Source organism: Homo sapiens, chromosome 5, assembly GCF_000001405.40.
Source record: "Homo sapiens chromosome 5, GRCh38.p14 Primary Assembly".
Classification (NCBI taxonomy): Eukaryota; Metazoa; Chordata; class Mammalia; order Primates; family Hominidae; genus Homo; species Homo sapiens.
This window is the reverse complement of record NC_000005.10, coordinates 176,963,422-176,991,414: the sequence shown is the minus strand read 5'-3', so window position 1 is coordinate 176,991,414 and position 27,993 is coordinate 176,963,422. Positions and strand designations below refer to the sequence as shown.

The 27,993-nt window shown below is 42.1% G+C and overlaps 1 protein-coding gene and 1 long non-coding RNA gene across 16 annotated transcripts in view, besides 1 other annotated feature; both read left to right on the top strand.

Annotated features, from left to right (window-relative positions):
• The window catches only part of UIMC1 (ubiquitin interaction motif containing 1), a 117,598-nt gene that overhangs the window by 31,188 nt on the left and 58,417 nt on the right, over window positions 1-27,993 (top strand). For 8 of the 15 annotated variants that reach the window (NR_146150.1, NR_146149.1, XM_006714871.3 and 5 more), the window contains 5 exons: window positions 8,792-8,946; window positions 15,935-16,019; window positions 20,549-20,673; window positions 21,709-21,814; window positions 22,124-22,860. Coding sequence is in view for 13 of the 15 variants with exons in the window: in XM_006714871.3 (XP_006714934.1) it covers window positions 8,800-8,946; window positions 15,935-16,019; window positions 20,549-20,673; window positions 21,709-21,814; window positions 22,124-22,860 (1,200 nt within the window). In the remaining 2 variants the exon portion in view is untranslated. Of the gene's footprint in view, window positions 1-8,791; window positions 8,947-15,934; window positions 16,020-20,548; window positions 20,674-21,708; window positions 21,815-22,123; window positions 22,861-27,993 lie in introns of those variants that run through there. The other 7 variants (XM_017009577.2, XM_005265932.4, XM_005265933.3 and 4 more) reach the window with 4 other exon arrangements.
• Window positions 6,460-6,660: a silencer, noted in NCBI's record as "peak5592 fragment used in MPRA reporter construct". NCBI's record gives its function as "represses an SCP1 promoter by STARR-seq MPRAs in K562 erythroleukemia cells {active_cell/tissue: K562}" and the evidence as "EXISTENCE:reporter gene assay evidence [ECO:0000049][PMID:32103011]".
• Window positions 8,953-12,749, top strand: LOC124901145 (uncharacterized). The gene is made up of 2 exons (XR_007059073.1): window positions 8,953-11,294; window positions 12,140-12,749. It is a non-coding gene; the product is annotated as an uncharacterized LOC124901145 (long non-coding RNA).

Here is a 27,993-nt window from a genome sequence, read left to right as displayed (position 1 = left end):
TTGTCTTTGCTGTTTCTCCCCAAAGAGATTTGCTCTTTGGGTAGTCTTCATTATGGTAGTAGCAGACCTGAATCTAAAAAGGTAGAGTAAGGTGAATTAAAACTGAGGCCGGGCTTGGTGGCTCATGTCTGTAATCCCAGCACTTTGGGAGGCTGAGGCAGGTGGATCACGAGGTCAGGAGATCGAGACCATCTTGGCTAACACGATGAAACCCCATCTCTACTAAAAATGCAAAAAAAATTAGCCGGGCGTGGTGGCGGGCGCCTGTAATCCCAGCTACTCAGGAGGCTGAAGCAGGAGAATGGTGTGAACCTGGGAGGCAGAGCTTGCAGTGAGCCGAGATAGTGCCACTGCAGTCTGGCCTGGGCGAAAGAGCGAGACTCTGTCTCAAAAAAAATAAAAATAAAAATAAAAAATAAAATAAAAAATAAAACTGAGGACTTGATTAGTCATGATGGCTTGTGCTTCTAATCCTAGCATTTTAGGAGGCCAAGGCAGGAGGATCGTTTGAGGCCAGGAGTTCAAGACCAGCCTGGGCAACACAGCAAGACCCCCATCTCTTTAAAAAAAAAAATTAGCTGAGTGTTGTGGTGTACTCTTGTAGTCCTACCTACCTGGGAAGCTGGGGCAGGAGGATTCTTTGAACCTAAGAGTTACAGGTTGCAGTGAGCTATGATCATACACATTGCATTCAAGCCAAGGCAACAGAACAAGCCCCTATCTCAAGAAACAAAAACATAAATATAAAATCTATTTATATTAGAAATATGGCAACATTTGTACAAAGTTGCATGTGTTTTTTCCATTTCTGTTACAGTTTGGGGTTTAGAAAATTCACTTCTTGCGAATTAATATAAAATTAATTTATTTTAGGAAGTACAAATATGTCATCTTATTTGTGTTTTAATTTGTGTAATGGTAACTTGATAGGTTTTTAACCTTTTCCTGCTGCTATAACAGAATATCTTAGACTGGGTAATTTATAAACAATACAATTTTTTTTGTTCACAGTTCTGAAGTCTGGTAAATGTAAGATCAAGGTGCCTGATGAGGGCTTGCACTGTGCTTAAAAGATGGGACCTTCTTGCTGTGTCTTCACATGGCAGAAGGGTAAAAGGGGCAAACAGGTTCTCTTAGGCCTCTCTTATAAGGGCACTAGTCCCATTCATGAGTGCTGTGTCTTCATGACTTCCCTAAGTCCCCATTTCTTTCTTTGTTTTTGTTTTTTTTTTTTGTAACAGAGTCTCGCTCTGTTGCCCAGGCTGGAGTGCAGTGGCTCGATCTCGGCTCACTGCAAGCTCCACCTCCCGGGTTCACGCCATTCTCCTGCCTCAGCCTCCCGAGTAGCTGGGGCTACAGGCTCCCGCCACCACGCCTGGCTAATTTTTTTGTATTTTTAGTAGAGACGGGGTTTCACCATGTTAGCCAGGATGGTCTCGATCTCCTGACCTCATGATCTGCCTGCCTCGGCCTCCCAAAGTGCTGGGATTACAGACGTGAGCCACTGCGCCTGGCCCCAGGCCCCATTTCTTACCAACACATTGGGGATTAGATGTCAGCATATGAATTTTGGAGGGACACAAACATTTAGACCATAGTGGATAGGTCATATCTAGTTATCTAGTGAGATGTTACTGCTTTAGTATGAATTTATGTATACTTAAATAATAACTAGCTACCTCTGCATTGCATATGCAATAAATATTCTGTTAACTGTATTTAAATACAGAAGTTAAAAGTATATTTCTTTTTTTTTTTGAGGCAGGGTCTTGGTCGGTTGACTAGGCTGGAGTGCAGTGGTGTGATCTTGGTTCACTGCAACCTCCATCTCCTGGGTTCAAGCAATCCTGCCCCAGCCTCTCCAGTAGCTGGGTCTGCAGGCATGTGCCACCACACCCAGCTAATTTTTGTATTTTTAATAGAGATGGGGTTTCACCATGTTGTCCAGGCTGGTCTCAAACTCTTGTCCTCAGATGATCCTCTCACCTTGGTCTCCCAAAGTGCTGGGATTACAGACTTGAGCCACTGCGCCTGGCTAATTTTTTCATCTTTGTAATTTCTTGTTCTTTAGTCATTAAAAATATGCATTAAATGCAGAAAAGGACGTTTGTGTGTCGAGTTTTATCATGGGGAATGATTTTGTAAATTGTAAGCATCTGTGTGTGTATGTTGTTACTATCCCTTAATTTAGAATTTTTTAATCCTTTAAGTGTTTTTTTTAGAAAAACTTTAATGCTAGTATTGTACAGACTACTTCTGATAATAAGATGTAACAACCCCCTTAGGAGTAATTGAATGGTTTGAGAAGTTTGTTACAAAGTTAAGGTGGCTTTATTTAAATCTGTGATTGAGTCAGTGATTCTCTGCTCTGGCTGTAAAATAAAATCATCCGGGGCTCCCCTTTTTAAAAAATTGAGGTAAAATTCACCTAACAGGCTGGGCACGGTGGCTTACCCTGTAATCCCAGCACTTTGGGAGGCCAAGGTGGGTGGATCATGAGGTCGAGAGATCGAGACCATCTTGGCCAACATGGTGAAACCCCATCTCTACTAAAAATACAAAAATTAGCCTGGCGTGGTGGCACATGCCTGTAGCCCCAGCTGCTTGGGAGGCTGAGGCAGGAGAATTGCTTGAACCCGGGAGGTGGAGGCTGCAGTGAGCAGAGATCGCACCACTGCACTCCAGCCTGGCAACAGAGTAAGACTCTGTCTCCAAAAAAAAAAAAAAAAAAAAAATTCACCTAACAAAATCTACCATTTCAGTCATTTTAAGTGTACAATTTGGTGGCTTTTAATAAATTCACAGTGTTGTGCAATTACCACTTTCTAATTCCAGAACATTTCTATCATCCCCAAAATAAACCTTATATCCATTAAGCAGTCATTGTACATTTTCCCCTATCTCATCTTCTGGTAATCACTAATCTGCTTTCTGCCTATGGATTTGCCTATTCTGGATGTTTCTTATAAATAGAATCATACAATATGTGCCTTTTATGTCTGGCTTCTTTCGCTTGGCATGTTTTCAAGGTTCATCCATGTTGTAGCATGTATTAATACTTCATTCCTTTTGTTTCCCCATAGTGGCTACACCATTTTACATCCTATCAATAATACAGTGTACTAGAGTTCCAGTTTCTCCAGCATCCTTACCAACACTAGTTATTTTCCATTATTTAAAAAATAGCCAGCCATCAGAGTGGGTATAAAGTGATATTTCATTGTGGTTTTGATTTGCGTTTCCCTCATGATTAATGATTTGAGTTTTTTTTTTTTTTTTTTTTTGGACAGGGGCGTAGTCTGTCACCCAGGCTGGAGTGCTGTGGCACGGATATTGGTTCACTGCAGCCTTGACCTCCTGGGCTCAATTGATCCTCCATCCTCCCACTTGAGCCTCCCAACTAACTGGGACTACAAGTGCGCCACCACATCTGGCTACATTTCGTATTTTTTGTATAGGGTTTTGCCGTGTTTCCTGGGCTGGTCTCAAACTCCTGGGCTTAAGTGATCCACCAGTCTTGGCCTCTCAGAGTTTTGGGATTACAGCCCACTCTGCTGGGCTACTTTTACGTTTGATGTCTTTTTTTTTTGTGAGACAGGGTCTTGCTCTGTTGCCCAGGCTGGAGTGCAGTGGTGTGATCACAGTTTACTGCAGCCTCAACCTCCTGGGCTTAGGTGATCCCTCCTCCTTAGCCTGCCAAGTAGCTGGGACTACAGGCATTAGCTGCCATGCCTGGCTAATGTTTATTTTTATTTTATTTTTTTGAGACAGGGTCCCACTCTGTCACCCAGGCTGGAGGGCAGTGGTGTGGTCTTGGCTCACTGCAACCTCTGCCCTGGGTTCAAGCAGTCCTTTTACCTCAGCCTCCTGAGTAGCTGGGACTACCTGTGTGCACCACCATGCCTGGCTAGTTTTTTTATTTTTATTTTTTGGTAGAGATGGGGTTTCACCATGTTGGCCAGGCTGGTCTCAAACTCCTCACCTCGAGTGATACACCAGCCTCAGCCTCCTAAAGTGCTGGGATTATAAACATGAGCCACTGTGCCCAGCCAGAAATATAATTTTTAAAATTTCAGTTTTGATTGTTTATGTCTAGCATATAGGAATGCAATTGGTTTTTGTATGTTGACTTGTTTCCTGCATTGATACAAGGCAAGATAACCTTGATGAACTGTTGATTTTGTTGTTGTTTTGAGATGGAGTTTCGCTCTTGTCGCCCAGGCTGGAGTGCCAATGGCACGATCTTGGGTCACTGCAACCTCTGCCTCCCGGGTTCAAGTGATTCTCCTGCCTCAGCCTCCCAAGTAGCTGGGATTACAGGCGCCCGCCACCACGCCTGGCTAATTTTTGTATTTTTAGTGGAGACAGGGTTTCACCATATTGGCCAGGCTAGTCTCAAACTCCTGACCTCAAGTAATCTGCCCGCCTCAGCCTCCTGAAGTGCTGGGATTACAAGTGTGAGTCACTGTACCTGGCCTATAATAGTTTTTTAATGTGTTTCTTAGTGTTTTTTTTTAAACACAGGTCATGTCATCTGCAAATCGTGATAGTTTTACTTCTAAGTTGAGTATCTTTTATTTCTCTTTGCTTAATTGTTCTGCCTAGAACCCTAAGTATAATGTTCAATGATTAAAGCAGACATTGTTTTTTTTGAGATAGAACCATGCCCTGTTGCCCAGGCTGCAGTAGCTGGGACCACAGGCATGCCACCATGCTGAGCTAATTTTTTAATTTTTTGTAGAGACAGGGTCTTGCTATGTTGATGAGGCTGGTCTCTTAACTTGTGGGCTCAAGCCATCCTCCTGCTTTGGTCTCCCAAAATACTGGGATTATAGGTGTGAGCCAGTGTGCCCAGCCTTTTTTTTTTTTTTTTTTTGGAGACAGGGTCTTGCTCTGTTGCCCAGTTGCCTAGGCTGAAGTTCATCGGCATGATCATAGCTCATGGCAGTCTCAAACACACTCAAGCTATCCTCCTGCCTCAGCCTCTTGAGTAGCTGGGACTGTAGGTGCTCACCAGTGTGCCTTACTTTTTTTTTTTTTTTTTTTTTTTTTTTTGAGATGAAGTCTTACTCTGGCACCCAGGCCGGAGTGCAGTGGCACAATCTCAGCTCACTGCAATCTCCACCTCCTGAGTTCAAGTGATTCTCCTGCCTCAGCTTCTGGATTAGGTGGGATTATAGTCACACGCCACCACGCCGAGCTAATTTTTGTGTTTTTAGTGGAGATGGGGTTTTACCATGTTGGCCAGGCTGGTCTCGAACTCCTGACCTCAGGTGATCAGCCCACGACGGCCTTCTATCCTGTAGACACAGGATGCCATGTCTTGTCTCTACAAAAAAAAAAATACGTTGCATAGGATGGTCTCAAATTCCTGACCTCAAGTGATCCTCCTGCCTTGGCCTCCCAAAGTGTTGGGATTACAGGGGTGAGCCACTGCGCCCAGCTGAAAGGAAACATTCTTGTCTTGCTCCTTGTCGAAAGGAGAAAGCATTCAGTCTTGTACCTTTAAACATGATGTTAGCTTATTAGTTATGGGATTTTTGTAGAAGTCCTTTATCAGGTTGAGGCATTTGGTATTTAAAAAATCTTAACCTAGTTAACATAGTGAGATCCTATCTTATAAGGAATAAAAAGTAAATTAAATTAGCCAGGTGTGCTGGCACACCCCTGTGGTCCCAGCTGCACAGGAAGCTGAGGTGGGAGGGTTGTTTGAGCCAAGGAGGATGAGGCTGTGGTGAGCTACGATCATGCCACTGCACCCTAGCCTGGGTGACAGAGCGAGACCTTGTCTCAAAAAAGAAAAAAAACTTGTAGGTAAATTATAATATGTAGTCAAGAAAAGCAATTATCTAAATTGATGTTTAAAGAACTAGGATACATGACTATATTATTGATACTGAAATTTCACCATGGAGAATGAGATTTGTATATTTATATAGTTGTTTTTTTTTTTTTTTTGAGACAGAATTCCCCTCTTGTTGCCCAGGCTGGAATGCAGTGGTGCGATCTCAGCTCACTGCAACCTCCGCCTCCCGGGTTCAAGTGATTGTCCTGCCTCAGTCTCCTGAGTAGCAGGGATTACAGGCATGCGCTACCACGCCCGGCTAATGTTTGTATTTTTAGTAGAGACAGGGTTTCACCATGTTGGCCAGGATAGTCTCCAACTCCTCACGTCAAATGATCCACCTGCCTCAGCTTCCCAAAGTGCTGGGATTACAGGCATGAGCCACTGTGCCCAGTCTATGTTTCTCTCTATAGAAAAAAAAACCATTTTTTCCCTATATTTTTCTAAAAAAAATTCCTCTATATTTTTATTTTTTGTATTTATTGATCATTCTTGGGTGTTTCTTGGAGAGGGGGATGTGGCAGGGTCATAGGATAATAGTGGAGAGAAGGTCAGCAGATAAACACATGAACAAAGGTCTCTGGTTTTCCTAGGCAGAGGTCCCTGTGGCCTTCCGCAGTGTTTGTGTCCCTGGGTACTTGAGATTAGGGAGTGGTGATGACTCTTAACAAGCATGCTGCCTTCAAGCATCTTTTTAACAAAGCACATCTTGCACTGCCCTTAATCCATTTAACCCTGAGTTGACACAGCACATGTTTCAGAGAGCACGGGGTTGGGGGTAAGGTTATAGATTAACAGCATCCCAAGGCAGAAGAATTTTTCTTAGTACAGAACAAAATGGAGTCTCCTATGTCTACTTCTTTCTACACAGGCACAGTAACAACCTGATCTCTCTTTCTTTTCCCCACATTTCCCCCTTTTCTTTTTGACAAAACCGCCATCGTCATCATGGCCTGTTCTCGTTGGTCGCTGTCTCTTCGGAGCTGTTGGGTACACCTCCCAGATGGGGCGGCCGGGCAGAGGCACTCCTCACTCCTAGATGGGGCGGCCAGGCAGAGGCACTCCTCACTCCTAGATGGGGCGGCCAGGCAGAGGCGCTCCTCACATCCCAGACGATAGGCAGCCGGGCAGAGGCGCTCCCCACTTCCCAGACGGGGTGGCGGCCGGGCAGAGGCACTCCTCACTTCCCAGACGGGGAGGCCGGGCAGAGGCACTCCTCACTTCCCAGACGGGGCGGCCGGGCAGAGGCACTCCCCATTTCCCAGACGGGGTGGCGGCCGGCAGAGGCGCTCCTCACATCCCAGATGGGCCGGCCGGGCAGAGGCACTCCTCACTTTCCAGATGGGGCGGCCGGGCAGAGGCGCTCCTCACTTCCCATTCGGGGCGGCCGGGCAGAGGCGCTCCTCACTTCCCAGACAGGGCGGCCGGGCAGAGGCACTCCTCACTTTCCAGACAGGGCGGCCGGGCAGAGGCACTCCTCACTTCCCAGACGGGGCGGCCGGGCAGAGGCACTCCTCACTTCCCAGACGGGGCGGCCGGGCAGAGGCGCTCCTCACTTCCCAGACGGGGCGGCCGGGCAGAGGCGCTCCTCACTTCCTCCCAGACGGGGCGGCTGGGCAGAGGCACTCCTCACTTCCCAGATGGGGTGGCCGGGCAGAGGTGCTCCTCACATCCCAGATGGGGTGGCGGCCGGGCAGAGGCACTCCTCACTTCCTCCCAGACGGGGCAGCCGGGCAGAGGCGCTCCTCACATCCAAGACGATGGGCGGCCAGGCAGGGGCTCCTCACTTCCTAGACGGGGTGGCGGCCGGGTAGAGGCGCTCCTGACTTCCCAGACGGGGTGGCCGGGCAGAGGGGCTCCTCACATCCTAGACGATGGGCAGCCAGGCAGAGACACTGCTCACTTCTTAGATGGGGTGGCGGGCGGGCAGAGGCTGTAATCTTAGCACTTTGGGAGGCCAAGGCAGGCGGCTGGGAGGTGGAGGTTGTAGCGAGCCGAGATCATGCCACTGCACTCCAGCCTGGGCAACATTGAGCATTGAGTGAGCGAGACTCCGTCTGCAATCCCAGCACCTCGGGAGGCCGAGGCGGGCAGATCACCCGAGGCCAGGAGCTGGAGACCAGCCCGGTCAACATGGCGAAACCCGGTCTCCACCAAAAATACAAAAACCAGTCAGGAGTGGCGGTGCGTGCCTGGAATCCCAGGCACTTGGCAGGCCGAGGCAGGAGAATCACGGGAGCCTGAGGCAGGGAGGTTGCAGCGAGCCAAGATCGTGGCAGTATCAGCAACAGAGGGAGACTGAAGAAAGGAGGGAGAGGAGGAGGGGGAGGGGGAGAGGGAGAGGGCTATATTTTTAATGAGTAGTAGACAAGTTAAGAAATGCAGTTTTGCTTCTGTTAGATAGGGTTATCTTTTTCTTTTACAAGATTAAATTGAGGCTGGGCATGGTGGCTCACTCCTGTAACCCCAACACTTTGGGAGGCCAAGGCGGGCAGATGACCTGAGGTCAGGAGTTCAATACCAGCCTGGCCAACATGGTGAAACCCAGTCTCTACAAAAATACAAAAATTAGGCTGGATGTGGTGGCTCATGTCTGTAATCTCAGCACTATGGGAGGCTGACACGGGTGGATCACCTGAAGTGAGGAGTTTGAGACCAGCCTGGCCAACATGGTGAAACTCTGTCTGTACTAAAAATGCAAAAATTAGCCAGTGTGGTGGCGTGTGCCTGTGGTCCCAGCTACTCGGGAGGCTGAGGCAGGAGGATTGCTTGAACCTGGGAGGCAGCGGTTGCAGTGAGCCAAGATCGTGCCATTGCACTCCAGCCTGGGCAACAAAGCGAGACCATCTCAAAAAAAGACTAAGTTGAATAGCTTCTAGAAAACTTATACTTTAAGTAAATTATGATCTTTTTATTCTAGACAAAATTATTGTCCTTTTATTCTAGACAAAAGGATGCCACGGAGAAAGAAAAAAGTTAAAGAAGTCTCCGAATCTCGGAACCTGGAGAAGAAGGATGTGGAAACTACCAGTTCTGTCAGTGTGAAGAGGAAGCGTAGACTTGAGGATGCATTCATTGTGATATCCGATAGTGATGGAGAGGTTAGTGAAGTAGAGCTGAAAAGTAGAGCTGTAGCTCTCAAACTATGCTTCTTTACCCATGGGGAGTTTGTTTCGTGACTGACTTCACCTTAATGCCAGCTCACCAAAACCATGAAATTTTTACTCAGCTTTGTTTTAATTTGTAAATGGAATGAAGAATTACTTAAGGTAGTAATCCTGTTGCTTGGTTGAGGATGGATCATAGTTCTTCAGTTTTATAATATAGTAATCCAAAGTGGCATTTTGGAACTATTTGAATCATCTAAATCAATTGTAAATCTTAGTTTTCATGTGTCTAGAAAGTGAGAGGAAAAACACGTGAATGTTCTTAAGTCTCTTGATATGTTCTACATATAATAGCACCTAGCCATCTGTAGCTGTTTAAAAATAACTAAAATTAAAAATCAGCTTCTCTGTTGCACTAGTCACATTTCAAGTGATTAAAGACACATAAGGCTAGTGTCAGTTGTATTAGACAGCAGAGCTATACAACATTTTTATCATTTTAGAAAGCTTTATTCTCCGGAATAAAGATTGTAACCTTTTTCCTTTATCCTGTATTTCTATTTGTTTATTGGAGTTTTCTGCCTGCCTGCAGGTCTCATCTCAAAGGCAGTGAATTAAGTCATTGTTTTTTCCTTCAGATTTTCTTCTCTTTCTCCTATATATTTTTTTTTTCTAGAGCCAGGGTCTCCCTCTGTCACCTAGGCTGGAGTGCAGTGGTGTTAGCTCAGCTCACTCCACCTTCCTTCTCCTGGTCCCACCTCAGCCTCCCATGTAGTTGGGACTACAGGCTCAAGCCATTATGCCTGGCTAATTTTTGTATTTTTTTTTGTAGAGATGGGGTTTCGCCATGTTGCCCAGGATGGTATCAAACTCCCATCCTCAAGCAATCCTGCCTAGGCCTCCTGAGGTGCTGGGGTTACAGATGTGAACCACTGCATCTGGCCAAAAAATGACATATTTTTGGTTAGCAAGATTGAGCATTTCTTTACATCTTTATTGATTTTTCAGAAACGTTTCTTGGCCGGGCACGGCAGCTCACACCTGTAATCCTAGCACTTTGGGAGGCCGAGGCGAGTGGATCACAAGGTCAGGAGATCGAGACCATCCTGGTTACCACAGTGAAATCCCATCTCTACTAAAAATACAAAAAATTAGCCAGGTGTGGTGGCACGTGCCTGTAGTCCCAGCTACTTTGGAGGCTGAGTCAGGAGAATTACTTGAACCCTGGAGGCGAAGCTTGCAGTGAGCCGAGATTGCGCCACTGCAGTCTAGCCTGGGTGACAGAGGGAGACTCCGTCTCAAAAAAAAAAAAAAAAAACCAACAAAACAAAAAGTTCCTTATAGTTCAGTTTTTAATTAGGACTTTTATCTACATAGTTCATTTTAAAGGCATAAGCGTATAGAGAAGAAAACAAGGGGTAGGTACATCCCTGGTGACTCATCCCTATAATCCCAGTGCTTCGGGAAGCTTAGACAGGAGGATTGCTTGAGGCCAGGCGTTTGAGACCAGCCTGACCAACATAGTAAGACCCTGTCTCTACAAAAAATACAAAACTTAGCTGGGCATGGTGGCGTGTGCCTGTAGTCCCAGATACTTGGGAAGCTGAGGCAGGTGGGAGAATTGCTTGAGCCTAGGAGTTCAAGGAGTTTGAGGCTGCAGTGAGCTATGATTGTACCACTGCACTCCATCTAAAACAGAAAGAAAACAAAACAATTGTATTACTTGGATATCATCTTAATATTAACAAAAATAAAAATATTAAATACACAGATACAGATATGTTAAAAAAAATTGTATACATATATGTTTAAAAAAAAATCCAAGCCATAACATAACAGTTTAGAAAGATATGAAATGAAAATGTACACTACAGACATTTAACCATAAGCAATAATTTCTTTTTCATTTTTAAAATAATTTCTTGATGTCATCTGTGTGATCTGAAGGCAGTAATTTCTTCTGTGTCCTCGGAAAAAAAATTTTGTGCATACATTATCAGTAGAGATTTTTACAGGAAAAGAACCATGCTGTGGAAACTGTTTTGCTTTTTTTCACTTAATGTCTGTGTTAGGTCCTCCAGAGACATGGAACCAATAGGATAGGCGGATGGATGGATGGATGGATGGACGGATGGACGGATGGACGGATGGACGGACAGAAGGACGGACAGAAGGGTGGATGGATGGAAGGACAGATGGACAGACGGATGGAATTTATTAGGGGAATTGGCTCATTCAATTATGGAGGTTGAAAAGTCCCCACAATAGTCTATTTGCAAGCTGGATACCCTGGGATGCCAGTAGTATGGCTCAGTGGAAGTCTGAAGGCCTGAGGACAAGGGGTAAGGGGTGCTGAGTGTTAAGGCCTGAAATCCAAGGCTTGGAGAGCCTGGAATTCTGATGTCCAAGGGTAGAAGAAGAATGTGTCCCAGCTCCAGGAGAGAGACAAATTTGCCTTTCCTATGTTTTTATTCTATTTAGCCCCCCAGCCAGTTGGATGGTGTTCACCCACATTGAGTGCAAATCTTCCCCACTTAGTCACTCAGACTGACACTCTAATCTCCTCTGCAAACACCCGGACAGACACACCAGAAAATAATACTTTACTAGTTCTCTGGGTATTTCTTACTCCAGTCAAACTGATACTAAAATTAACCATTATAGTATTTCCGGGAGACCTTTCTATAGCAGCACATATGTCATACGTCATATATGTTATGCATACAGGAATGTGCATAAAATATAAATGCATGGTTTTAAAAATTAATGTGAACACTTGCAGTTACCACCTGAGAATCCCTCTTCTCTTAGTGTGTCCCTTCCCAATTGCATTCTTTTCCACCTTTCTTTTTTTTTTTTTGAGATGAAGTCTCGCTTTGTTGCCTAGGCTGGAGTGTAGTGGTGCAATCTCGGCTCACTGCGACGTCCGCCTCCCAGGTTCAAGCGATTCTCCTGCCTCAGCCTCTTGAGTAGCTGGGATTACAGGCGCCACCACGCCTGGCTAATTTTTGTATTTTTAGTAGAGATGAGGTTTCACCATGTTGGCCAGGCTGGTCTCAAACTCCTGACCTCAGGTGATACACCCCAAAGTGTTGGGATTACAGGCGTGAGCCACCGCACCCAGCTCTTTTCCACCTTTCTAAAGGTAACGACTATGTATTCTATCTTCCCATGTTTCTCCTTACAGTTTTACCACATTTACATGTATCCCTGAACAGCATACGTATATTTTGAAAAACTAAGTATTGGTGATTAGACATATCTACCAACACTTTCCAATAATCTCTCCATTCCCCAGGTATTTGAAATTTTACCTTTATCATAAACTAAAATCTTGTTTATAAATGGGTGTGTCTCTGTTTTTCTTCCGTTAATCTGTCACATATTTTTATAATTGTTCAGTTGATTGTCTTGGGTATTTTAGGTAGGCATTTATCTCTGCTAATAACTATCATTTTTTCTCTTACTCTCTAGCACTTACACCTTTTTTTGCTTGTTTTCATTGCGTTGGCTGTAGCTTCCAGAATAATGTTGATTGATACTAGCAATAGAGCACATCTTTTACTTCTGATGTTTTGCTATTTGTTTCATATTTCCGTTTTTATGTTAAGGAACTATCCTTTAATTGCTTATTTACTAGTAGTGGTTTTAGGAATTATGTTTAATCAGATGTCCTTTATTTAGCAAGATGATGGAGTAGTTTTTCTCCTTTAATCAACTAATATTATATATGGGATTAGTATTTTCTAATGTTGGAACATCTTTGCATTTCTGAAATAAATCATACTTGGTCATGATGTGTTATGTTAATATAATATTGATTTTTTTCTCAATATATTATTTAGGAGTTTTGCATCTGTACTCCTAGTGCCATTGGCTTTATAAAGTTTTTTTTGGGGGGCGCTATGGCCTTCATCAGATGTTAGTATTAGGGTTATGATATAAAAGAGAAGGAAAGCTTATTATTTTTTTCTATGTCCTACCACAATTTAAATAGTATAGGAATTATTTGTTTTATAGGGTTTCCTAAAAATCTCCCATAAAACCGGGCTACCAAATGATTTTTATTTTATTTTATTTTATTTTTTTTGAGACAGAGTCTCGCTCTGTCGCCCAGGCTGGAGTGCGGTGGCGCCATCTCTGCTCACTGCAAGCTCCGCCTCCTGGGTTTACACCATTCTCCTGCCTCAGCCTCGCGAGTAGCTGGGACTACAGGCGCCTGCCACCACGCCTGGCTAGTTTTTTTTGTATTTTTAGTAGAGACGGGGTTTCACTGTGGTAGCCAGGATGGTCTCGATCTCCTGACCTCGTGATCCGTCCGCCTCGGCCTCCCAAAGTGCTGGGATTACAGGCGTGAGTCACCGCACCCGGCCTACCAACTGAGTTTTAATATGTATTTCATATTCTTATAGTGTCTTGGTATTTTTGTATATGAAAAAAAGTCTTTTTTTCTGCTTTAGAATAGAAAAAAGCAGCTGGAATAATCTTAGGAAGACGTTTGTTTTTTGTTTTTGTTTTGTTATTATTTTTATTTTTTTATATGTATTTTTTTGAGATGGAGTCTCGCTCTGTTGCCCAAGCTGGAGTGCAATGGCATGATATCAGCTCACTGCAACCTCTGCTTCCCAGGTTCAGGTGATTCTGCCTGCCTCAGCCTGCGGAGTAGCTGGGATTACAGGTGCCTGCCACCACACCTGCGCAATTTTTGTATTTTTAGTAGAGAGGGGGTTTTACCATGTTGGCCAGGCTGGTCTCAAACTCCTGACCTCAGGTGATCCACCCAGCTTGGCCTCCTAAAGTGCTGGAATTACAGGTGTGAGCCACTGCGCCTGGCCTTTTTTGTTTCTGTTTTTTTTTTTCTTTTCTTTTTTTTTTTTTTTGAGATGGAGTCTTGCTCTGTCATCCAGGTTGGAGTGCAGTGGCACAGTGACGTGATCTCGGCTTACTGCAATCTCCATTAATAGTATGTACTTTATATGATTTGAATCATTTTTAAACTTAGTGAGACTTGTTTTATGGCCCAGAATATTCTGTGTGTACTTGAGAAGAACGCACGTTTTGGATAGTGATTTCTGTAAATGTCAATCTGATGAAGTTTGATGATAGTGTTGTTCAAATCTACTTTATATTTATTGGTTTTCTGTCTATTCTACAAATATTTTGAGGAGGCTGTTGAAGTCTTTGACCATAGTTGTGGATTTGTCTTATTTCTCTCTCTCTCTTTTTTTTTTTTTTTTTTGAGACAGAATCTTACTCTCTTGCCCCAGGCTGTAGAGCAGTGGCGCGATCTTGGCTCACTGCAACCTCTGCCTCCCGGGTTCAAGTGATTCTCATGCCTCAGTCTCCTGAGTAGCTGGGATTACAGGCATATGCCACCACGCCTGGCAAATTTTTGTATTTTTAGTAGAGATTGGGTTTCACTATGTTGGCCAGGCTGGTCTCGACCTCCTGACCTCAGGTGATCCGCCTGCTTGGGCCTCCCAAAGTGCTGGGATTACAGGCGTGAGCCACTGCGCCTGGCCCACAGTTAATTTTAGAACATTTTTACCCTCCATGGCCACTGCCCTCGTCAGCCTCACCCCACACTATACTGTGCCAGTCTCCACGGCCCAGTAGCAGGGGCCTAGAACATTTTCATTACTCCCAGAAAAAACCCATTTTCATTAGCAGTTACTCTCCATTTTCCCCCAAACCCCTAGCCCTTGACAACCACTGATCTACTTTCTATATGGATTTGCCCATTCTGGGCATGTCTTATAAATGGAATTATACAATATATGTGGCCTTTTGTCTGACTTCTTTCAATTATATATTTTCAAGGTACATTCATTTCGTAGTGTGTATCAGTACCTCATTTCTTTTTTTTCCACAGTGGGGGCACTGTTTTATATTCCCACCAACAGTGTACTAGGGTTCCGGTTTTTGTAATCCTTGCCAATGCTTATTTTCTTATTTGAAACAAAAATTATTTTAATTATCCTAGTGGGTGTGAAGTGATACCTTATTGTGGTTTTGACTTGTATTTCCCTGATGACTAATGATACTGGGCATCTTTTCATGTACTTCTTGGACATTTCTATATCTTCATCTTCAGAGAAATTCTTTTCAAACCCTTTGCCCAGTTTTATTTTTATTTATTTATTTTTAGAGATGAGGATGTTGCTTTGTCTCCCAGGCTGGAATATCGTGGTGCGATCTTAGCTTGCTGCAGCCTGGAAGTCTTGGGTTCAAGCGATCCATCTGCTCCAGCCTCCTGAGTAGCTAGGACCATGCCTGGCTAATTTAAAAAAAATTCTTTTTAATTAAAAAATAAATAAATTTTTTTGGGGGTTAAGGACAGGATCTCTCTACATTGCCCAGGCTGGTTTTGAACTGGCCTCAAGCGATTCTCCCACTTCAGCCTCCCAAAGTGCTGGGATTACAGGCATGAGCCACTGTGCTTGGCCTTTTATTTCTTTCTCTATTTTATTTTTTGTTTTCTTGATTATTTTGTTTGCGTTTCTTATTAAATTTTAGGGTGGGGTGTAGGGTTGGTGTATTTGGTTCTCTTTTGCTTCTATAGGATTTTTCATTTACCCTCTTTTTCCTTTCCTTTACTATCCATTGTCCAAAAGAGTGATTTAAAATAAATGAATACACGCTGAGTTTAAACATTATTATTGTTTTTTCATATCTTCAATCAAGCTACTCTGATCTTTGGTGATGCTTACTGGTATTTTAGAGATAGACTAGTTTTTGTCTGACTGTTTATATGACAGATAATAATGCCAATATATCACATTTTTGTTCTTACAGTTTTTATTGGTTCTAGATCTTATGTTTTCCCTTTTGTACTGAAAAGGATCTTCTAATGTTTTATGTGCATATTTATAACAATCACCAATTCCTCAGAGGCCTCTCTTAGCCATAGGGGAGGTAGAAGAGAGAGAAATCACTACTTTTAGTGGCAGCCACACTGATGATATTTCTTGTTTTGCAACAGGAACCAAAGGAGGAAAATGGGTTGCAGAAAACGAAGACAAAACAGTCGAATAGAGCAAAGTGTTTGGCCAAAAGAAAAATCGCACGTATGTTTTCATTTTGTTGATAATGGTTTGGGAATTGTAATAGTCATAGAACTGATACATTTTGGACTAGTTGATTATGTTGCATTCTTAGGTCTCTGATAGATTCAAGAAAAGTTGTGAATTTATCAGTTTTTGTTGCTATTGTTGTAAGGATTGGAACAATAACTTTTTTCAGTTTCCTGTATCTTCAGTGGAAGCCAGAAGTGGTCATTCTGAATCTTTAAAAAAATTTTTTTAAATTTATTTTTTTTTTAGAGACAGGATCTCACTCTGTCACCCAGGCTTAAGTGTAGGGGTATGGTATGATCATAGCTAACTGCAGCCTTGAACTCATTGGCTCAAGTGATTCTCCTGCCTCAGCTTCCCAACTATGCCCCACGACGCCTGGCTAATTTTAATTTTTTTTTTAACACAGGGTCCTGCTGTGCTGTCCAGGCTCATCTCAAACTCCTGGCCTCAAGCAATCCTCCAGCTTGGGCCTCCCAGTGTTGGGATTACAGGTGACAGCCACCAGTTAGCCCCCATTCTGAACTTACAGAGCAGCAAAATCTGTTTTTATGATTCCTTTTTATTTTTTTTTTTGAGACGGAGCATCGTGCTCTGTCACCCGGGCTGAGTGTGCTGGCGTGATCTTGGCTCACTGCAACCTCTGCCTCCCGGGTTCATAACGATTCTCCCACCTCAGCCTCCTGAGTATATGGGCCTACAGGCACATGCCACTACACTCTGCTAATGTTTGCCAGGCTAGTCTCCAGCTCCTGACCTCAAGCGATCCACCCGCCTCAGCCTTCCAAAGTGCTGGGATTATAGGCATGAGCCACCATGCCTGGCTAGAACAGAAGTTTTAAACTTTGATGTGGTCCATTTTTTTCTCTTTTATGGTTTTTTTTCTTTCTATGTCCTAAGAAATCTTTGACTACGCTAAGGTTATGAAGATTTCCACCTATTTTCTTCTGGAAATTTTATAGTTTTAGCTTTAGCATTTAGATTTCTGATCTATTTTGAGTTTTTGTATATGGTGCAAGGTAAGAATTAAGGTTCATTTTTTTCCCATATGGATATCCAATCATTCTTGTACCATTTGCTGGAAAGACTGTCCTTTCCTTGTGTTGAAAATCAATGCATGGGTCTATTTCTGAATTTTCTGTTCTTTTCCATTTATTTATGTTTGTCATTATGCCATACCACACTGTCTTGATTAATGTAGCTTTATAATGTCTTAAAATCAGGTAGTATAATTCTTCCAACTTTATTTTAAAAATTGTTTTGATTAATTTGGGTCCTTTGCATTCCTATATAAATTTAATTTTATTATTTGTTTATTACTACTGTTTTTTGAGGCAGGGTCCTACTCTGTCGCCCAGGCTGGAATATAGTGGTGTGACTGCAGCACTGTAGCCTCAACCTCCTAGGCTCAAGTGATCCTCCAGCTTTAGCCTCCTGAATAGCTGGGACTAACAGGCATGCATCACCATACCCAGCTAATTTTTTTTTCTTTCTTTTTGAGACAGGGTCTCCCTCTGTTGTCCAGGTTGGAATGCAGTGGCTCACTACAACCTCTGCCTCCTGGGCTCAAGTGATCCTCTCATCTCAGCCTCCCAAGTAGCTAGGACCACAGGTGTATACCACCACATCCAGCTAGTTTTTTATTATTTGTAGAGACAAGATCTCACTATGTTGCCTAGGCTGGTCTCGAACTGCTGGGCTTAAGTGATCTTCCCACCTCTGCCTCCTGAGTAGCTGAGACTGTAGGTGTGCATCACTACACCCAGCTATTTTTTAAAATTTATTTTTTTCTTTTCTTTTTTTTTTTTTTGAGACAGGGTCTCACTTTGTCACCTATGCTGGAATGCATTGGTGTGATCTTGGCTCACTGCAGCTTCGACCACCTGGACTTGAGCAATTATAGGCATGAGCCACTGTACCTGGCCCTGTTTTTCATTGTTACTCTCCTGAGGTGCCTTTTTAGACTATTTTTCCCTCTAACCACTGCCATCCCCATGATATTTTTAATACCACAGATAAGCTTTGTATTCCGTTTTATGTACTGATTGTATGTCTGTATCTTATATATAAAAAGATTTTTATTTTATTTTATTTTTGCCTCCAAGAACCAATTTTTGTCCACTTGGGGATGGTATCACTCTTGTTGAGAATGCATGATAGAAGTTGCCAGACTTGGCCATGCCCAGTGGCTCATGCCTGTGATCCCAGCACTTTGGGAGGCCGAGGCGGGTGGATCACCTGAGGTCAGGAGTTTGAGACCAGCCTGGCCAACATGGTGAAACCTCGTCTCTACTAAAAATACAAAAATTAGCCGGGCCTGGTGGCAGGCACCTATAATCCCAACTACTTCGGAGGCTGAGGGAGGAGTATCGCTTGAACCTGGGAGGCAGAGGTTGCAGTGAGCTGAGATCACGCCACTGCACTCCAGCCTGGGCAACAGAGAGAGACGCCATTTCAAAAAAAAAAAAAAAGAAGTTGCCAGACTTACTGGTATAAAATCATTCATAGTATTCCCTTATTTATTCTTTTAGTGACTGTAGAATTTATAATCTTGTTTCCTCTTTTATTGTCGGTATTGTTAATTGTTGTTGTGTTTTTGTTCTTGAGCAGTTAAGAGGTTTATGCATTTTAATTTTTTAATTTTTTAATTTTTTGAGATGGAGTCTTGTTCTGTCGCCCAGGTTAGAGCGCAGTTGCGTGATCTTGGCTCGCTGCAACCTCCGCCTCCCGGGTTTAAGCGATTCTCCTACCTCAGCCTCCCGAGTAGCTGGGATTACAGGCGCCTGCCACCACGCCCAGCTAATTTTTGTATTTTTAGTAGAGATGAGGTTTCACCATGTAGGCCAGGCTGGTCTCAAACTCCTGACCTCAGGTGATCTGCCTGGCTTGGCCTCCCAAAGTGCTGGGATTACAGGCATGAGTCACCGCTCCTGGCCGAGGTTTATGCATTTTATTGACCTTTTTGTAGAATTGATTTTTTTTTTTTTTTGAGACGGAGTCTCACTCTGTTGCCTAGGCTGGAGTGCAGTGGCGCATCTCTGCTCACTGCAAGCTCTGCCTTCAGGGTTCACGCCATTCTCCTGCCTCAGCCTCGTGAGTAGCTGGGACTATAGGCGCTCACCACCATGCCTGGCTGATTTTTTGTATTTTTTTAGTAGAGACGGGGTTTCACCGTGTTAGCCAGGATGGTCTCGATCTCCTGATCTCATGATCCGCCTACCTTGGCCTCCCAAAGTGCTGGGATTACAGGCGTGAGCCACCGCGCCTGGCCTGTAATAATTCTATAAAGAGGAGCTTTTAATTTGCTTGGTTACCCAGTAGTATAGCTTGTGTAGAAAAAGTAGGATAAAAGCAATTCTATTATTTTATCAGTTTTCAAATAGTGGATTCACTGACATTCTTCAACAGTGACTGGTTAGTCTATGTATTTTTAAAAAATATTAGTATGAACTTACAGTTGTTTTTGTTTTTGGTTTTTTTGAGATGGAGTCTTGCTTTTGTCACCTAGGGTGGAGTGCAATGGCATGGTTTCAGCTCATTGCAACCTCCGCCTCCCGGGTTCAAGTGATTCTCCTCCCTCAGCTTCCCAAGTAGCTGGGATTACAGGCACCCACCACCATGCCTGGCTAATTTTTGTGTTTTTAGTAGAGACAGGGTTTCACCATGTTGTCCGTGATGGTCTCGAATTCCTGACCTCACATGATCCTCCCACCTTGGCCTCCCACAGTGGTGGGATTACAGGCGTGAGCCACCACGCCTGGCCTTAACTTACAGATTTAAATATATTTGATGTGATTTAAAGCATTGCATTCATTATCTTTATTGATGCTTCGGTTCCATTTTTGGCCAGTGAGGACTTTATTTAATTGGCTCCTAAGTTCTTTCGATATGACTCTAGTAGTGTCTAATAGAGTCTTTGCTTAATAGTGTCTAGTAGTGTCTAATACAGTGACAAATATTCTAGCTCATCTTGTTCATTTCATGCTTTGGACTTGGGACCCAGCCATTTCTTCAGTGTACCCCGGTTCCTTTTAAATGAAAAATGGTGTCTGGAGACCACATTCTTGTCACTAGGGATGTTCTTTTCTACTGGGTAAATCAGAGGATTCTGAAGAGTAAAATTGTTCTGGCTAAATGTTGAGCATAAAGCGTTGCGGTATTTAGCAAAAAGCTCTAGAGTGGGCATTAATTCCTCTGTTTATTCATTTAGCAGATATTTATTACGTACCATGTGCCCTGCACTTTTTTATGTGCTGGAGGTATAACAGTGAACAGTGTAGGTAAAAACTCTGCCTTCATGGGAGCTTACAGCCTAGTTAACCCAAGATTCTTGTTGTAACTGCTGCTAATTATCTTGGCCAACACCTTTCCTTCTGGGGTTTTCCTCATTTACAAGATTATAAAATTGTACTAAGTGGTCTGGTAGTGTCTTCAGTTGAAAAGTTTAATAATTCTCTTTCTTGCCTCCATGATTATTCAGTGTTTGTGGTGTTCCTCCTTCTCTTTTCCCTATCCTCTTACAGAGATGACAGAAGAAGAACAGTTTGCTCTGGCTCTCAAAATGAGTGAGCAGGAAGCTAGGGAGGTGAACAGCCAGGAGGAGGAAGAAGAGGAGCTCTTGAGGAAAGCCATTGCTGAAAGCCTGAATGTAAATATGCCATGTTGCAAAAGTTTGTGGAGATTGATCAGCTATATTTTTGACTTCTGTGGTGTTGTAGTTGCATTAGGAACTAGCTGTAGTCATTTATAGGGTTTTCACCTAACAAAAATTCCCATAGTAATTTTTTAAAGTCTGTGTTGAATTGTTGGTTAACCCAATTTAAAGTATTTTGTTAATTCTATATGAAAGAGTTTTCTTCCACCCCATGGATTTTTTAGTTCATGGTTGAAAGAATTATCATAAGTTGACAGCTTCTGAAAAGACTTACTGAATACCAAGAACCAGAAGGCAGCAAGATAAGATGCTAACTTCTCTAGTATTGTGGGAGAGCAAAGGGAATGAGAACTAGAGGTGGATTATGGGAAGAAAGAATGGGCAGTTTTAAAAAAATAATGAAATAAAGTTAAATTGTCATTTGAATATGCACAACTGAATTTTTTTTTTTTTTTTTTTTTTTTGAGATGGAGTCTCACTCCATTGCCCAGGCTGGAGTGCAGTGGCACAATCTTGGCTCACTGCAAACTCCGCCTCCTGGGTTCAAGCAATTCTCCTGCCTTAGCCTCCCAAGTAGCTGGGATTATAAGCCCCCACCACCACACCCAGCTAATTTTTTGTATTTTCAGTAGAGACTGGGTTTCACCATGTTGGCCAGGCTGGTCTGGAACTCCTGACCTCAGGTGATCTGCCTGCCTCAGCCTCCCAAAGTGCTGGGATTACAAGCATTAGCCACCTCGCCCAGCCTGAAATGATTTTAAATGTGAAGGATACTTGCCAGTGGCAGGTCCTGAACCATCTTTTTATGCCATTTGCCTCCCTGTTTTAAAAAAGGGTTTAGTATAGTGATCTAGTACAACACTTTGCACATAGACATTCAGCATATGCTGTGAAATTAAATTGAGCCATTTACATTTTAGAAAGAGAAAGTCTTATGAACGGTGGCCTCCCATTTTGTCCTTCCTGTGACCCTTCATATATAGTTATTTTAATAATAAACCTGGTCTGGTATGGGATCACTTGTTTCAGAGTTGCCGGCCTTCTGATGCTTCCGCTACCAGATCTCGACCTCTGGCCACTGGACCGTCTTCCCAGTCCCATCAAGAGAAAACCACAGACTCTGGGCTCACTGAAGGCATGTCTCCCTGTTCTGACTCCTTCCATTCATCAAGTATAACTGTACCACAGGGATCTCATGCTGAGAGTAGATACACGGAAATACCCCAGATCCTTTTGGTGATAATAAAGAAGTTAAATCAGGAAGTAGTTGAGATCATAAGAATATCCGGCATACTTTTATCTCCAAGGAAAAACCAACATTTGGTTAAACCCAAAGAAGAGCCTTTCTTACCCATATTATGTAATTCTTGGTAAGTGATAACTTACCAAGCCCTCTTAATAAAAAAGTTTGTCCTTAGCCCTACTTTTTCTCAAATACCTACAGGCATATGGCAGCTGGTACCTCCATCACTGTTTAAAGGCTCACATATCAGTCAGGGAAACGAGGCTGAGGAAAGAGAGGAGCCTTGGGACCACACTGAAAAAACTGAAGAGGAGCCGGTCTCTGGCAGCTCAGGAAGCTGGGACCAGTCAAGCCAGCCAGTGTTTGAGAATGTGAACGTTAAATCTTTTGACAGATGTACTGGCCACTCGGCTGAGCACACACAGTGTGGGAAGCCACAGGAAAGTACTGGGAGGGGTTCTGCTTTTCTCAAAGCTGTCCAGGGTAGCGGGGACACATCTAGGCACTGTCTACCTACCCTAGCAGATGCCAAAGGTCTCCAGGACACTGGGGGCACTGTGAACTATTTCTGGGGTATTCCATTCTGCCCTGATGGAGTAGACCCTAACCAGTATACCAAGGTCATTCTCTGCCAGTTGGAGGTTTATCAAAAGAGCCTGAAAATGGCTCAGAGGCAGCTCCTTAATAAAAAAGGTTTTGGGGAACCAGTGTTACCTAGACCTCCTTCTCTGATCCAGAATGAATGTGGCCAAGGAGAGCAGGCTAGTGAGAAAAATGAATGCATCTCAGAAGATATGGGAGATGAAGACAAAGAGGAGAGGCAGGAGTCTAGGGCATCTGACTGGCACTCAAAAACCAAGGATTTCCAGGAAAGCTCAATTAAAAGCTTGAAAGAGAAACTTTTGTTGGAGGAAGAACCAACAACCAGTCATGGTCAGGTAAGGGTCAGTGATGCTGTAATTAAGGATGATTTATTCACAGATTAAAACAAGGATTATTTTAGCTGTTATTTTTGTGGTCTTCCCCTCCTTGATTATTAAAGTAATACATGTTCACTATAGAAAATTAGGAAAGTACAGGAGAGTATAAAGAAGAAAAAAACTACCATTTTTTTTTTTTTGAGTTGGAGTCTCGCTCTGTCTCCCAGGCTGGAGTGCAATGGCGCAATCTTCGGCTCACTGCAATCTCCACCTCCCGGGTTCAAGCAGTTCTCCTGCCTCAGCCTTCCAAGTAGCTGGGATTACAGGTGCTTGCCACTATGCCCTGCTAATTTTTGTACTTTTAGTAGAGACGGGGTTTTACCCTGTTGGCTAGGCTGGTCTTGAACTCCTGACCTTGTGATCTGCATGCCTTGGCCTCCCAAAGTGTTGGGATTACAGGCGTGAGCCACCACACCTGGCCAGTCATCATTTCTATGCATACAAAAATACATGAAAAAATTTTTTGAACAAAATGAAGACTCTTCTGTGTTAAGTTTTGTTCCTCTCCCTACTTTATAGTTTATCTTAGATCATTTCTTAATAGATGACTTATTCTACCATAGATAAACCATAATTTATTTTTTGTATAAATTTTTTTTTTTTTTTTTTAAAGACAAGGTCTCGCTCTGTCACCCAGGCTAGAGTGCACCGATGCCATCTTGGGTCCCTGCAGCCTCCACCTCTGGGATCAAGCGATCCCCCAACCTCAGCCCGTCGCAATAGCTGGGACCATAGGTGCACGCTACTACGCTGAGCTAATTTTTATATTTTTTGTAGAGATTGAGTTTCACTTTGTTGCCCAGGCTGGTCTCGAACTCCTGTACTCAAGCCATCCACCTACCTTGTTCTCCTGAAGTGTTGGCAGTGTAGGCATGAGCCAACACGCCTGGTCTAAAAATTATTATTATTTCTGAAAGGTTAAATTTTTGAATAGGTAACAATATTCACATGGCTCGAAATTCAAAAATATATAAGTAAAAAGTCTTAACTTTTCTCCCTATCACCTAGCCAGCCAGTTCCCCTCTCTGGACTCAAATTTGTGTTACTAGTTCTAGTGTATCCTTCCAAGATACTTTATCTGGTACAAGCAGAATACATTTTCTTTTCCCTGCCTTCTTTTACACAAATGATTTACACATTATTTTCTACTTTTTTCATTTAATATCCTAATGAGATCATTACATAACAGTATATAAAGAATTTCTTCATCTTTTTTTTTTTTTGGATGTGAAAAATACCATGTGTGGATTAGTCAGAGTTTACTGTTACAGATAGTAAAATGTCCAGAAGACATTTCATCCACATGGAAGATATTTGTATTATATGATAATTTTCTGTAGCTGTAATTGGTGGACCAAAAAATGTATTTATAATTTCATTAGCTGTTGCCAAATTGCCCTCCATAGAGATCATATACATTTACATTCCCACTGGCAGTGTATGAATACTAGTTTCTCCATACCTACAGTAATGCAGTATTGTCAGACTTCTTGATCTTTGCCAGTCTGAGAGATGAAAAATGGCGTCTCAGTGTAGTCTTAATTTGCGTATCTCTTACTATTTGTGAGGCTGAACTTTTTTCTCACATGTCTAAGACCCATTTGTATTTCCTTTTCTGTCTGTTAGATCTTATGATCATTTTTTCTTTTGATAATCTATTGGTTTGTGGATACACTTTATATAGTAGAGAAAGTAGTCCTTTGTGATATGAAGTATGGATAGTTTCCGAGTTATTTTTTCCCATTACATAATGGTGTATATTTATTATTTTGCTTGTAGTGGTTTTGAATAATTTATTGAAACCAATCTTCATCTTGGTACATTTAGTTTGCTTTTTCTGAAGTAGCTAGATTATATTGTGTATGAAAGCTTATATCTTATTTTTCCCTTTGAATATTATAAAGCAATAATATAAACTCTTTATATATAAATTGTAATTTTAAAGAGTATTCTGTTTTATGACTATACTGTTTTTTCTTGCTATTTCTGTTACCAGACTTTGACTTTTGGTTTTGTTTTACTATTATGTTATTCTGTCTTTCTTGTGTTATGATAAAGGTTCAAGAAATGGTAACTTTGAGGAGCTTCATAGAATAGAGAACATGGATTTGGAGTTGAGTTCTGATTTTTGTGTTTAGTAATTTGTGTGTTTTTGAGCAAGTCACTTAACCTCTTTGAATCCCAGTTTCACGTCTATACAGTGGGAATAACAATTCCTATCTTTCGACAGTTATTTTAATGATTAAAGTGAATTTGTGTAAAATGTCTACTGCAATGCATAGCATAGGCACTGAACAACTGGTAATTCTCTCTAAGGGATCAAAGGTCATTCACTGGGGAGATGCCTCTAGGAATCATTATTTCCTAGTAACCATCTTCATTCACATTCTGGAAAGATTGTTGTCTAGGAAGAGAAGGCATTTTTATTTAAAGAAATTTTTTTTCTGAAGGTATATCAGCAAAGAAGGCATTTTTAAGAAATAGTTATTTTAGTGACTGGTTTCTTTTCCAAAGGAAAGTTACATGATGCTTATGATAAATGTTTAGTTTGTTCTTTCCAATTCGGAGATGCTGCTTCTTAAAATAATACATTAACTCCAAAGAGTGACACTTAATGATTTATTGTAATTCAAGTTGTTAGCTTGCAAGATCCCAGGGGCCAGAGCTCTACATCATAGACTTGTGTCAAGTTCTGTGTTGTGTCAAGTTTGAAAGTACTGCCTTTGCAGTAGCCTGGAAGAAGTCAAAATCTAGTGGATGGTCTTAATTAGATTGAAGTTCTTTGACTCTTAACTTCATGACCAGACCACCAAATACTACAGGTAGTATTATCAGTTAATACTATTTGCTGCAGTAAACTGAATTAAGCTAGCTTAATTAAAAAGAGGACTTGGCTAGGCACAATGGCTAATGCCTAATCTCAGCATTTTGGGAAGCTGAAGCAGGAGAATTCATTTGAGCCTGGGAGTTTGAGACCAACCCAGGCAACTTAGTGAGACCTTGTCTCTACTAAAATAAATAAATAAAAATAAAAAAATTAAAAGAGGACTTTATAAGGAAGCGAGGTATCTCAGAAGTTTTTTTTTTTTTTGAGATGGAGTCTCTCTGTGTTGCGCAGGCTGGAGTGCAGTGGCATAGTCTTGGCTCACTGTAAGCTCCACCTCCCGGGTTCACGCATTCTCCTGCCTCAGCCTCCTGAGTAGCTGGGACTACAGGTGCCCGCCACCACACCCGCCTAATTTTTTATGTATTTTTAATAGAGAAGGGTTTTCACCGTGTTAGCCAGGATGGTCTCGATCTCCTGACCTCGTGATCCACCCACCTTGGCCTCCGAAAGTGCTGGGATTACAGGCGTGAGCCACCGCGCCTGGCTTCAGAAGTTTTAAAATAGAACTATAACCAGGCCCAAAGAAGGTACTGGGCATCTGATTTTTCTGTATCTCATGGTTATATTGTGTCTGCTTCATTTTTCTCCCTGCAGACTTGGCACTCTTTTGCTTTTGTTTTTCAGGTGTAGGTTGAAGACACTGATTCTATAGCTCTCAAACTTATTATGGGTTACAGGAGACTTAATCTCTCCCAATTCAAATTTTAAATTTTCAGGAAAGGATTTATGGCCCATTTGGTGTCAGTAGCCCAGTCAGCTGTGGCTTGATGGAGGTTACTTGTCAAATTGGCTGTAAGCCCACTGCTAATGGGAATGGGAGGGGTGAGGGACAGTCCTCAGTGAAAGCAGACAAGGCAGACAACCTAGTAAGCATATAGACATTAACTTTAATAAAAAAATCACTTGGAGATGTTAAAAAATGCTGAAAAGTTTAAAGAATATTACCTATTTTTTGTATGGTTCAGATCATATTATTTTTGTATCTTTAATATCATGTAGACATTTTCTCATGTTAAATTATATATTTCACTTTTAATGGCTATATTATATTCCAGTTTATGAATTTACCATAATATTTTAAACATTTTTCTATTGCTGGATATTTCAGTTGTGATATCTTTCTATATGAAACTTTTCTTTATTCCTCATCAGTGTACTTAGTCATGAGCCATAAAAATGATGGGTTAAAGAGTTATGAACATAAAGACTTGATATTTATTGCCAAATTGCTTGTCAGAAAGGCTGTTACAATTTGTATTCTCTCCATTTGGCAATGTATGAGAATATCTAGTTCACTGAAGCCTTGCCAACAAATAATTGTACCTTTAAAAAACAAACTTCAACTAATTTTATAGGCAAATAATGTAGGTCCTGTGATTGTAGTTTTACCTCTCAATCTTTTGCTTTCAGGAAATGTGGGTAGAAAGAATTCGTTTGTTAAACATTTTCTATTGAACACAGCTTTGGTGGAGCTGCCTGTATTTGAGACTTCTTGGTTGATAGAGATAGCAAGAGAGTCTCAAAAATAGGGACTCAGAGAAACATTCACTTTGGGGCACATAACTTAGTCTATATTAAGGTTATTAAAGCTTTAGAATCAGATGATAACTGGTTTTTGGCATCACTGAGACAAGATAAAGTTGCTAATGAAGGCCTGTAGATCACCTTGAGAGCATTATGACAAGGAGTTGGAAGGGGTAGTATGTTAATGTGGTTACTACTTTTCAGAATCTGATACTTAATTTTTCAGTCCGGATATTGGAATTTTTTTTTTTTTATCAGAAATGACCAGATTGTGTGGGGTTGTGAGAACTGACTTTGATTTGCCAAACTTCACGCTGATGTATGTATACAAAATGACAGTTTATTTATTTATTATGGAATAGAGACATTTTCAGTGACCAGAATACTCAGACCTGTATCTACTGTCTTCTAGAATGACAGTATCTGGAGGGTTGAAATAATCAGAAAATGGAATTTTTAAGGGATGGTTCAACTAGTCTGTGGAAAAACCTAATAAACTACCAGTGTCACACAATAGAGGACATTTCTGTGATGACCAGATGATTTATCTATTCATTTTCACTTTTTTTTTTTTTTTTTTAAAGATGGAGTTTCACTCTGTCACCCAGGCTGGAGTGCAGTGACACGATCTCAGCTCACTGCAACCTCCACCTCCCGGGTTCAAGTGATTCTCCTGCTTC